The 13,487-nt window shown below is 45.9% G+C and overlaps 1 annotated feature.

Annotated features, from left to right (window-relative positions):
- Positions 11,974–12,499: an enhancer, noted in NCBI's record as "H3K4me1 hESC enhancer chr20:37360147-37360672 (GRCh37/hg19 assembly coordinates)". NCBI's record gives its function as "activates a minimal SCP1, AML or CMV promoter by ChIP-STARR-seq in naive H9 embryonic stem cells {active_cell/tissue: H9 hESC(naive)}" and the evidence as "EXISTENCE:reporter gene assay evidence [ECO:0000049][PMID:30033119]".

The following is a 13,487-nucleotide window of genomic DNA, read 5'->3' as shown; positions in this document are numbered from 1 at the left end:
TTGGTCTCAAGACTGCTGACCTTCAGACTGGAACTACACTACTAAGGCCAGTTCTCAGGCCTTCGGACTTGGACTCTGATATGGTTTGGCTCTGTGTCACCACGGAGATCTCGTGTTGAATTATAATTCCCAGCGTTGGAGGTGGGGCCTGCTGGGAGGTGATTGGATCATAGGGTGGTTCTAATGGTTTAGCACCATGGACCTGGCTGGTCTTGTGGTAGAGTTCTCACAAGATCTGGTTGTTTCTCCCTTCGCTTGCTCTCTCCTGCTCCACCATGTGAAGATAGTACTTGCTTCCCCTTTGCCTTCCACCATGATTGTTAAGTTTCCTGAGGCCTCCCCAGAAGTGAAGCTTGTATAACCCGCAGAACCATGAGCCAATTAAATCTCTTTTCTTTGGAAGTTACACAGTCTCAGGAACTTCTTTATAGCAGGGCGAGAACGGACTAATACAGACTCAGACTAGAACTAAACCATTGGCTCTCCTGGGCCTCCAGCTTTCCAACTCACCCTGAAGATCTTAGAACTTGCTTACCTCTGTAACTGAGTAACCCAATTCCATGTAGTGTGTGTAAGTATGTATACATATATAATATTAGTTCTCTTTCTCTGGGGAATCCTGACGAACACACCTGCAATCCTCAGTGACGAACACACCTGCAATCCTCAGCATTGCTTGGCCTCTCCAGTCTCTGCTGCCGTCATCATGTGGTGCTCCCCTTGAGTGTATCTGTCTCTTTTCCTCTTCTTTTTATTTTTTAATTTTTTTTTTTTTTTGAGATAGAGTCTCGCTCTGTTGCCCAGGCTGGAGTGCAGTGGTGCCATCTTGGCTCACTGCAACCTCTGCCTCCCAAGTAGCTGGGATTACAATCATGCGCCACCACGCCCAGCTAATTTTTTGCATTTTTAGTAGAGACAGGGTTTCACCATATTGGCCAGGCGGGTCTCGAACTCCTGACCTTGTGATCCACCTGCCTCGACCTCCTACAGTTTTGGGATTACAGGTGTGAGCCACCACGCCCAGCCCACTTTTCCTCTTCTTCTAAGAGCACCAGTCTTATTGGATTAGGGCCCCACCCTACTTCAGTATGAGCTTCACTGATTATATCTGTACTATGTACCTGCAACAACTATATTTCTAAATGAGGGCACATTCACGGATGTAGTGAATCAGAACCCACATTAAATACACCTTCTATTTGGTTTAAGTTATGGCCATGTTGGCTCCTGTCCTAAGTAACACACACACACACACAGGTGATCATATGATGTATCTAGTCTTGTTCCTTAGAGAGCCTTCATGACAGGACTCAGACGGTAGAACTATCAGAAAACTGTTCCAAGGAAACCATGTGCCATGCATTCTGCCTGCAGCTTGGTGGGGAGGATGTGATGAGAACAGGTATCAAATTAGGCTGTTGAACCTTAATTCATCATGGCTGACCAAGGCCTTGTGCTGGACTTGGTTCAGGGCTCGTTGGGCCAACTGCCTGGGAAACAGAAAGGATATCCACGTAACTGAGGAGACAGGTGGCAGACTAGGACTGGGGGCAGGTGATTTAGCACAGGGTCTCCAACTTCATCCCAGATCCTGCTAACCCACTGGTTGGAATAATCAGATATAGGGCATGCTGTGGCCTTTTAGTAGCCTGTACCTTTGCACATATGTATTGTTGATGCAGACCGAGATGCTCTGCCCTACATCGTTTGCCTCTAGAATCCTCATTAAGGGCCAGCTCAGATGTCACTTTGGTCTTCCTTCCCTGGGGAATAGAGCAGAGTGTCCCATAAGGTGCTTACTATGGGGCAGGTTCCCTTGATCACAGGTGACGAGAGCCTTGGTTGGTGAGAATGTGTTAGGTAAGTTAGTGCTATGTCCTCCTCTAAGCCCTCAGGTTAAGTAGATGGAGCAGGGGGCAGGGGACTGACAGTTCACACCTCAATAAGGGGATTTTTTTAAAAGGAAAACCCTACAAGAATAGGAGAATGGGAGAGAGAGATTTCAAGAACTGGAAAGTATACATGCAAGTGGTATCTAGTTTAGAAAACCTGATTCCCCAGCTGCTCTGGGAAAAGCTGAACACTAATCTGTTTCACACTGTACAATGCTGAAAAGTCTCAGGAATTAGTGGCACAAGGTTCTTCTAGAAAAGAGAGTAAAAGTGGAACGGCCAAAATAAGGAGAACTTGTTAAAACTATTTTATGAAGAAGCCTGCCGAAGTCTATAGGTGCTCTTCTTTCTAACTGCCTCCAGAATTCCCCAAAAAGACTGGAGGTTTGACTCTTTGCAAAGAGTAAAACAAATAGTCTCTAAACAAGGATATCAACTGAGAACAAAATGATTAAGTCAATATACATAATGAATGCTAAGATCCCAGTCTCTTCCCCTACTTTGTTCCTGATACTCTATAGGTTCCCAAGTTTTTACCCTTCAGCGAAAGAATGGAAGAATCTTCCCTGAGATTCTTATCCAACCTGAGAGGAAAACTCTAAGTGAATTGGTCTTGGATGTTCTCCCTCAAACAGCCCATTGAGATCATTTTACGATGAAACTCACAGTCAGTAGGACTCTTCCATGGACTCTGCACCTCCAATCAGCCTCTACTAGCCCAATCAGCCTGTACTACCCCAGTCTTTAAAATGAGGTACGCTTCTAACATGAAAGCCAGAGGTTAAAGCATACAAAGAGGGAAGAAAATCAACCAGGAGGCAATAGAGACTACGTGAAAAAGAGAAACCTTAAAATACTCATTATTACTACAATATCTTCAAAGAGATAGAAGAAGATATTGTATCCATGAAACAAGAAAAGTTTGCTATAGAACAGGGAGGTTAAGAGAACCAAAAGAAGGTTTCGGGGGCTTGGGGTGAGGGACAAGATAGCAGAAATGAAAAACTTCGTAGATGGAAGATAAAGTTGAGAAAATCTCCAATAAAGTATGTGTGTGTAGAGAAAGAGGGAAAGAGGAAAGAAAAATAAGAAATTTAGAGGAGCAGTTCTAATCTACAAATAATAGAAGTTCCAAAAGACAGAACAGAAAACATACAGAGGGCCATCCCAATTCAAGGCAACTTCCTAGAATTGAAGCACTTGAGTTGCTGTGTTGGGAAGAAGCCACAATGAAAGGAAACAGATCTACATGAACACACATCATGAAATTTCAGTTCCCTGGAAACAATGAGAACATCCAGTCGTTTCCAAAGAGAAAGAAAATGTTTGCATACAAAAGAACAAAGATCAATTTCAAACTTCTCCTTGGCAACATCGAAAACTAGAAAACAAATGGAAAGTGCTTTCAAGTCTAAAGAAAAATGGTTTCCAAACTAGAATTCAGCCAAACCCTCAATCAAGAACTGGGGTAGAATATAGACATTTAAAGTTATTCAAGGCCTCAAAAATGTACCTTCCATAACCTCCCTTATATTCCAGAAGCTATTGTGGAATCTGCTTCAAAACAAGGGAGTAAACCAAGAAAGAGAAATCACGTGAGACAGGAGACAGGAGCTGCAACATACAAGTGAAGTAAGAGAACCCTGAGGTGATTGAAAAGCCGGATCCCAAGAGGACAGCTGTGCTACAGGCATATGGGGTGCTGGCCAGGTTGGAGTGGGTCTGCTTTGGGAGAGACTTCTTCAGGAAAGGGAAACTGATACCATATTTTGTGTGAATGAAACAATTGAGGGGTGTTTAGACAATTGGAGGAGAGTTTGGGGTTCAGTTATTAAAAAGTATTTGAGGCTGGGAGCAGTGGCTCACACCTGGAGGCCAAGGATCACTTGAGCCCAGGAGTTTGACGCCAGCCAGGGCAACATGGCAAGACCCTGTCTCTACAAGAAATCAAAACAGTTGGCCAGGTGCAGTGGTTCACGCCTGTAATCCCAGCACTTTGGGAGGCCAAGGCAGGAGGATTGCTTGAGCCCAGGAGCTTGAGACTAGGCTGGGCAACATAGCAAGACCTCATCTATGGAAAAAAAAATCATCTAAGCATGGTGGTGTGTGCCTGTGGTCCCACCTACTCAAGAGGCTGAGCTGGGAGGGTCACTTGAGCCTGGGACGTCAAGACTGTAGTGAGCTGTGATCTCACCACTGCACTCCAGCCTGGGCAACAGCTTGTCTCAAAAAAAAAAAAAAAAAAAATCAAAAAATTAGCTGGGCATGGTGGTGCATGCATGCCTATGGTCCCAGCTACACAGGAAGCTGGGGTGGGAGGATCGCTTGAGCCCAGGAGGTTGAGGCTATAGTGAGCTATGATCACACCACACCACTCCAACCCTGGGAGACAAAGTGAGATTCTGTCTCCAAAAAAAAAAAAAAAAGGAATTTGAAACAAACAAAAAGGCAACTTCTTATACAATAAAAAGTTGTACAGGAAAGGAATTGTAATCATAGTTTATCACATGCCCCAGCTCTAATTAGTACACATATCATACAATGTAAATCTTGAGTACTAAGCTAACTAAAATGATCATGTAACTATACTGGGAAACTGAAGGGGCGGGGATGTAGACTGGAGAAGAATTAGGAAATGGACTAAAACCTCACCTTCCTGAGTGGGAGTCAATAATTAAGGTCCAAAATGAAAAATAAAGAAATTGCAATAAAAGCATTTTTTGTGGGGGCAGGGGGTGGGGGAGGACAGAGTCTTGTTCTGTCGCCAAGGTTGGAGTACAGTGGTGAGATCTCAGCTCACGGCAACCTCCACCTCCCAGGTTGAAGCAATTCTTATGCTTCAGCCTCTTGAGTAGCTGGGACTACAGGTGCCTGTCGCCATGCCAAGCTAATTTTTTGTACTGTTAGTAGAAACAGGGTTTCGCCATGTTGGCCAGGCTGGTCCTGAACTCCTGACCTCAAGTGATCTGCTTGCCTTGGCCTCCCAAAGTGCTGAGATCACAGGTGTGAGCCACCACACCTGGCCCAATATAAGCATGTTATTTGGAGATGTGGAGATAAATATTAAAAGGATCAAGTGCCAGGTGCGGTGGCTCACATCTGTAATCCCAGCGCTTTGGGAGGCCAAGGCGGGTGGATCACCTGAGGCCAGGAGTTTGAGAGCAGCCTGACCAACATGGAGAATCCCATCTCTACTAAAAATACAAAATTAGCCGGGCGTGGTGGCACATGCCTGTAATCCCAGCTACTCAGGAGGCCGAGGCAGGAGAATCGCTTGAACCCAGGAGGTGGAGGTTGTGATGAGTCGAGATCTCGCCATTGGACTCCAGCCTGGGCAACAAGAGTGAAACTCAGTCTCAAAAAAAAATAAAACGGGATCAAGTGTAAGAATTGAAAGTAGTTGCCTCTGGGGAAGGAGAAATTGGAGGAAGGGGCTACAGAGTGCTATTTTAGTTAACTTGTAGAATTCATTGATTCTTTAAATTATGTGTATATGTAATACAAAAAATAAAACTTAAAATATTGAAGTATGGCCAGGTGCAGTGGCTGTAATCCCAGCACTTTGGGAATCCAAGATTGGAGGATCACCTGAGGTCAGGAGTTCAAGATCAGCCTGGCCAACATGGTGAAACCCCGTCTCTTTTAAAGTACAAAAATTAGCTGGGTGTTTTGGCACATGCCTGTAATCCCAGCTACTTGGGAGGCTGAGGCAGGAGAATAGCTTGAATCTGGGAGGTGGAGGCTGCAGTGAGCTGAGATTGTAACACTGCACTCCAGCCTGGGTGACAGGGCAAGACTACATCTCAAAAATAAAAAAAATAAATAAAAATAAAAAATAAAAAATTGAAGTATGGGCAAAGGCATATTAAACAAAAGCAAACAAAAGGAAAAAAAGGCAAGTTAATTTGAATATCAGAGAAAGTATGTTAAACTCTCCTTGGTTGGGCATGGTGGCTCATGCCTGTAATCCCATACTTTGGGAGGTTGAGGTGCAAGGATAGCCTGAGGCCAGGAGTTTAAGACCAGCCTGGGCAACATAGTGAGACCCCATTTCCACAAAAATAAAAATAAAAAAAGTAGCCAGACATGGCAGTGCACACCTGCAGTCCTAGCCACTCAGGAGACTGAGGCAGGAGGATCACTTGAGTCCAGGAATTTGAGGCTGCAATGAGCTATGATCACACTACTGCATTCCACCGGGGGCAACAGAGTGAGACACTATCTCAAAAAAATTGTTTTTAATAAAAAATAAGTAAACTCTCCTACTATGTTTGTAAATTAGTCCATTTCTCTACATTCTATATTTGGAACCTGTGTTATTAAAAACACCAAGTTTAGAATAATCATCCTGGCATATTTTGTCATTTTTTGTTTGTTTGTTTGTTTGTTTGTTCTGAGATGGAGTTTCACTCTTGTTGCCCAGGCTGGAGTGCAATGGCGCGATCTCGGCTCACTGCAACCTCCACCTCCCGGGTTCAAGCAATTCTTTGGCCTCAGCCTCCTGAGTAGCTGGGATTACAGGCATGCACCACCACGCCCTGCTAATTTTGTATTTTCAGTAGAGATGGGTTTTCTCTATGTTGGTCAGGCTGGTCTGAAACTCCCGAGCTTAGGTGATCCGCCCACCTCAGCCTCCCAAAGTGCTAGGATTACAGGCTTGAGCCACTGTGCCCCGCTGGCAGCTTTCTTTTGATTAGTATTAGCCTGGCAAATGTTTCCATCTTTTTATTTTAATCTTTCTCCATCTTTTGTTTTAGATATATACCTTGCAAAGAGTGTATAGATGGACTTTCAAATTTCAATCTGAGAATCATTGTCTTCTGACTGGCTAGTTTAGTCCACTTATCTTTATTACTTATTCATTTATTTTTACTACCCTGTATTGACTGGAAGGGCCTTTATTTTGCTCCTTTTCTTTCTTTTCCTTTTCTTTCATTTCCTTCTTTTTCCCTGACTTCTACATTGATCATGTTTTCTTTCTTTCTTGTCTTTCTTTCTTTCCTTCCTTTCTTTCTTCTTTCTTTCTTTCTTTCTTTCTTTCTTTCTTTCTTTCTTTCTTTTTCTCTCTTTCTCTCTCTCTCTCTCTTTCTTTCTTTCTTTTTTGAAACGGAGTCTCGCTCTGTCACCCACACTGGAGTGCAGTGGCATGATCTCGGCTTACTGCAGCCTCTGCCTCCCAGGTTCAAGCGATTCTTCTGCCTCAGCCTCCCAAGTAGCTGGAACAACCAGCAAGCGCCACCACACCTGGCTTTTTTTTTTCTCTGAGATGGAGTCTCACTCTGTCACCCAGGCTAGAGTGCAGTGGCGCGATGCAAGCTCCACCTCCCACTTTCACATCATTCTCCTGCCTCAGCCTCATGAGTAGCTGGGACTACAGGCGCCCGCCACCACACCCGGCTAATTTTTTGTATTTTTAGTACAGACGGGGTTTCACCATGTTAGCCAGGATGGTCTCGATCTCATGACCTCGTGATCCGTCTGCCTCGGCCTCCCAAAGTGCTAGGGTTACAGGCGTGAGCCACCATGCCCCACACCTGGCTAATTTTTGTATTTTTAGTAGAGACGGGGTTTCACCATGTTGGCCAAGCTGGTCTCGAACTCCTGACCTCATGATCCGCCCACCTTGGCCTCCCAAAGTGCTGGGATTATAGGCATGAGCCACCGCACCCAGATCCGTGCAAGTTTTCTTTATTTGCTCTTTTCCTTCTACTAGGTTGGAAGTTACACGTTCTCCATCCATTTGTTGTCGTTCTTGTCATTGATGGTTGTGATAGTGGTGGTGTATGAGTAACACTCTTGCTCATCATTAAGCCTAAAGTTAATGGTATTTCTCCCTATATTTGAATTAGAAAGCCATAGAAGATAAGACTTCAATTATTCCCTCCCATCTTAGAGGTTATTTACCAAAATTTTAGTTCCACCTTAGATCCCAAGAATTGGTTATTGTTAATATTGTTTTCTATGGGCAGTACTTGCTCAGGCACAGATTTGCTTCCTACATAGTCCTTCCTTGTGGGTTAAGTTTCTTTCTTCCTGAAGTCTATTCTTTGATAGTTATTTCAATGAGAGGCTGTTAGTGGCAAACTCTCACCTCCCAGACGTCTCAGATGGATTAAGCTCCCATTATTGACAGGTGCTTCCCTACCCATAAAGTTTCCTGAATTGACATTCTTCCTTTCCTTCCCCGTCTCACTTCTCCACTGTGCTACTGGTACTTCTTGGTATCAGCTCTCATGTGAACTACTTCAGTCAAATAGGTCTGTTGCTGGGGGAATCTAACCGACGGCAGCCTCTTTTCAGTCCTCATCTTTGTTCGTCAGCTTCCTCTCTCTTCAGCTTCTCTTGGTCGGCCTTACTTACTTGTATTCTTCAACTCTCCCGCTTTGAACACCTCTTCAGAGTAAAGGCTCCATGACAATTGTTTCCAAGTCTGATCTCACTCTTCTTTGAGAAGCTTCTAGGTGTGTTTCTTCTACTCCAAAATTTAGAAACAAAGAGTACACACATGTATTAGTCCATTTGTGTTACTATAAAAGAATACCTGAGGCTGGGTAATTTATAAAGAAAAGAGATTTAATTGGCTTACAGTTCTTCAGGCTGTACAGGAAGCACAGTGCCAGCATCCACTTCTGATGGGGCCTCAGGAAGTTTTCAATCATGGCAGAAGGCGAAGCGGGAGTAAGTACCTCACATGGTGAGAGCAAGAGCGAGGGATGGGGGTGGGGTGCCATGCTCTTTTAAACAAAACAGTCAGATCTCACGTGAACTCAAAGTGAGAACTCACTTATCACCAAGGAGATGGTGCTAAGCCATTCATGAGGGATCCTTCCCCATGATCCAATCACCTCTCACGAGGCCCCACCTCCAACATTGGGAATCACATTTCAACATGAGGTTTAGAGGGAACAAACATCCGAACTATATCATCACATCTCCATGCCTGCCTCAAATCAAGATGATATGTGTCCAGAGAAAGAAAATAAATAAATTCTTATCATTTTCTCCATCTTGCAACCTGTCCTTCCTCAATTCCAGGATATCATTCTCTTTATATTCTTCTCCTCCCTGTCAGACTATGTTTTATCAATCTTGACTCCTCATTCTTTTCCTCCTTCTCTTCATTTGCTTGACTTTTTTTTTTTTTTTTTTTTTGAGAAATAGTCTCACTCTTGTCCCCCAGGCTGGAATGCAGTGGTGCGATCTCGGCTCACTGCAACTTCCGCCTCCTGGGTTCAAGCGATTTTCCTGCCTCAGCCTCCCGAGTAGCTGGGACTACAGGTACACGCCACCATGCTCGGCTAATTTTTGTAGTTTTAGTAGAGACGGGGTTACACCATGTTGGCCAGGCTGGTCTCAAACTCATGACTTCAGGTGATCCGCTCTCCTTGGCCTCCCAAAATGCTGGGATTACAGGCGTGAGCCTCCACATCTGGCCTGCCTGACCTTTAAATATTGCTGTTATCCAAGGTCACTGGCCCGGTGCTTTTTAAATGTTCATGCACTCTCCTGGTTGACCTCATAGTTTCTGTGACTTTAGTACTATTAATGTGTCGATAGTTTTCTGAAAATACATTATTTATTTGAACATAATTTATTAAGAACATTCTGTATATCAGGTCTGTGTTAGATAGTGGAGATCCAGTAGGGTGCCAAACAGAGAATATCTCTGCCCTTGTGGAGTTTACTAAAGTTTGTTGCTATGGACCTGTTTATGTTTCCTTCTTTTCTTCCTTTCATCCATGGACCATTTATTGGTCCACCATTCATCTATAATCCATTTTTTTCCTTCACTCACTGATTCATCTATTCATTGGCTCAACCATCCAACCCTTGACCTCAAAGCATTTACTAATCCATCCATCTATTCATCCATCCATCCACCACCCTCCCATTGACCAAACCTTCTCAATATTAGTGGTCCCAAGCCAGTGGCACGTTGGGAACTTGAAAGAAGGAGGAAGAAGAGGAGGAGGGGGTTGAGGAGGAGGAAGAGAAGGAGGAGAAAGGTCTTTCTGAATCTGAATCTAGGGGTTTTGTGGGGAGCAGGAATTTCTAGAAAGCTCCCCATTTTATTCTGATTCACCCAGCCTGGCACCTGCCTATGGAAAGATATTTGGGGACCACTATATTACATTAGAAGCACTGTGAATATAGGATCTTCATTTACCTTTCCCTAAAAGTAGACCCTAAGACAAAGATTCAGATGCAGTCAATTTATGTGGGAGGTGAACCTTGAAAGTAGGGAAAGGAAGAAAAGGAAGGGGGAAAGGCCAAATAAAGATTGCTTTGATGAGCTTGTGGACACCTGAGGTTCAATCCTGCTGGGGACCCTCCAAGATACCTTGTGGAATAGACCTAAAATGGTCCCATCACAGGACAGGAGACAGGCATTTATTGCCAATTGATTGAGCACTAGGGGCTGTTAGCTGCCCGACAATTCCAAGTCATGCTCCCAAGGTAGCCTAGAAAGCCCTCAGGGAGATGAGGAGAGATGGAGGCACTGGCAGTGGTTCATGTTCCACAGCTTCAGGTAAACTTAGGTGCATCTAGGGAACATAGGGTGGGCACTGACAACTACCAGAGAGGCCATGTCTGTCTTGTTTCCTGTTGCATTCCCACACATTAGACCTTAGCCTAGTGTGTGGCCTAGAGTGGGTGCTTAACAAATATTTGATAAATAAATCTTGTTTAACTACCAGACCTTGAAACAGGAACTGAATCACACTAACAATTCCTTTAATTGTGCTCTCCCTTCTAGCTGCACCGCCTTCCCTTCTAGACACCACCAACCCCTCTATAGCATCCTCAGCCTTTTCACCCTGTTTCCATCCCACCCCCAAGAGGGTTGCTGGAAGCTTCTGGAATCGTAAAGCTCCCTCCACCCCACCCGCTATGTGACTCTGCTGGACCATGCTGCTGGGTGTCCCTGGTCAGAGGCTCTGCTCTCACTGTGCCTTCCTGGACTCCACAACTGGCAGAGATGGTGCCCAAAGCATCACTGTGGAACCAGCTATAGTCAGACTCTTGAAAAATCTCAATCCAAATCTCCCGGGGGGGCAGAGCTCATCTCCCAGGCCTGGCCTCACATCCAGGACCAGGATTAGCATGAGGCAAGTGAGGCATTTCCTTTGGTAGCAAAATTTAAGAGGGTGCAAAAAATCCAGAAAGCAATATAAATAAAATTTTAATGCAATATTTTTTAAAAATCAAAATTAATGCAAAAGTGAACCATAACGTTCAAAATAATGTAAGCAAAATAACAATATCTGAGGTAAAGAAAGGATGGATATTGCTTTTTTTGCCTTGGTCTCCAGTGTGGCTCAGATTAGTGCTGTACTGATGCTGTGCTATCTGAATGTCACTGTTACTTGTCCTGAAAGCTTAAAAATTTGGGAGGGGTGGCTGGGCACAGGGGTTCATGCCTATAATCCCAGCACTTTGGGAGGCTAAGGCAGGGGGATTGCTTGAGCCCAGAGTTTGAGACCAGCCTGGGGAACATGATGAGACTCTGTCTCTACAAAAAATTTAAAAATTAGCTGAAAATGGTAGCACATGCCTTGCCTGTGGTGTCAGTTGCTCGGGGGGCTGAGGTGGGAGGATCACTTGAGCCCAGGAGGTCAAGGTTGCAGTGAGCTGTGTTCTCACCACTGCACTCCAGCCTGGGTGACAGACCGAGACCCTGTCTCAAAAATGATAATAATTATTTGGGAGGGAAATATACTGATGTCTGCAACTTTTGAATGTTGTTTTTTTTTTACAGGTAGACTGTTGGATGGATAGATGGATAGGTATGGGGTAGATACAGTGTTTTAAACTGTTAATCATCCAGTCTAGGCGGCGGTGGGTGTGGGTGTATGTATGTTCAGTGTGGAATTCTTTCACCTTTTCTATACATTAGAAATTCTTCATAATCTTGAAAAGGAAAAAACGAAAGAGCTATGAGAAGGACACCCAAGGCTGGCTCTCTGAGGTCAAACAAGTGCAACGAATGAATCCTTGGCTGTCCAGGACTGAGTACCCTACCACACCCTCACTCATGGTGAGGATGGAGCCCACCTAGGGACCTGCCCCCTCCTTGACCAAAGCCTCTCTCTGGCTCTTGTCCCTGAAGTCCCCTCTAGAATAGCAAGGCCTGGATCCTCTCCACTTCCTGGATGGCCCCCATGGAGCCTGTTTGGCTCCCTCCCTACCAGGTCTTTAAGTGAGGAACACTCAGTCCCTGGGATAAGACGGTGTCATATAACAAAACATGTTCAATAATAAGCATCCATCCATGTTTGGGGAAAAATGACTAAAAACTTTTGTAATGTTGAGGACCTGAAATAAAGCACTAGAAAGAAGCAATGCTTATCAACTAAGCAGGAGGTGGGGTAGGGGGAGACAAGAAGCATTTAGGACTAGGGTGGAGAACCGTCCTTGCGGGCCGGCAGTTTGCGCTCTCACCGCTAGGGGGCGAGGCAGGGCGGTCTTGGGACCGTGCGATCGCGATCCTGGGTTCCGCCGGCGCACGTGGGTCTTGGTGGTTCCAGGTCCTGGCCCCAAGGCAAGGGGCCAGGTACACCTACACACTTATGCTGCGGACCCAGGTGGGGACAGCTTACAGGGTCTGCAGCACGTCCAGCTAGGGTGCCCCATAAGAACTGATGTGAGCCCTGTGGGGCTGACGCGGATTCCTCCTCTCCTTCTCAATCCGATCCCAGAATGAGCCTTGCCAGAACTATCTGCTCTCTTGGACTTGCACAGCGAGCCCACTGCGAGGAAAGCTGGGACTTCTTCCTTTCAACATCTACCTTTACGCTTTAGTGATGGTGGAGGTGGGGGTAGATGGGTGGGGGAGATGAGAGGTGCAGAGACGGGTGCCATCCACTCCTCCTCCTTATTTCTCTCAGTAGCCTGGATGCGAGTCCGGGTATCGGTGTCCTACCGACCAGGGTTTCGGGTTTCCCTTGGGCGTCTAGGGTGCTAGTTCTCCCGCCCCTGCCACCCTCAGGATTCGCCCCCTAGGACAAGAGACGCTGCAAGCTGAGCACAAAACCTGGAGCCAGGATTAGTGGAGCGGATCCAGGCGAGCCCGCAGAGTTGGCGCCGCTATCCGGAGCCTGCCTAGTGTCTCCTTCGACCTTTTAAAGACGGGAAGGACAGAGATGGTGCAGCGTGACGCTCCCACCTTCCCTTCCACCATAGAAGTCCGGGATTTTTCTGAAGGCGACACACTGACTCGGAGAGCACCCCAGGGTCCGTGGACCCGCTGAGAAACCTTGGGAGTTGGGGCGGGGGAAGAACAATCAGCTCCCCACCCCACCCCTCGGCCCCAGGCCTGGGAGACGTCAGTGGTCATGGGAAGACGAGAAACTGAGGACCCTTCAGCCAGTGCCGGATCCTGAACACGCGACAATAGTGACCCCGGGGAATTAGGCCGAAGGTAGCGGACTTCTCAGATGGCCCGTTTTAAAGCATTAGAGCCACAGTGATGGCTGAGGACACCGGGTCCTATCCCTCCTCCCTTCCCACTCCAGGTCTGTGGCCGCAGAACCAGGGTGATGCGAGGTCACCTCTGTCGCAGGCGCTTTAGGGAGCACGCCCACCCGGATGCTC

This window comes from Homo sapiens, chromosome 20, assembly GCF_000001405.40.
Source record: "Homo sapiens chromosome 20, GRCh38.p14 Primary Assembly".
Taxonomy (NCBI): domain Eukaryota; kingdom Metazoa; phylum Chordata; class Mammalia; order Primates; family Hominidae; genus Homo; species Homo sapiens.
The sequence above is the reverse complement of the archived record's forward strand: the minus strand, read 5'-3'. Positions and strand labels throughout refer to the sequence as shown.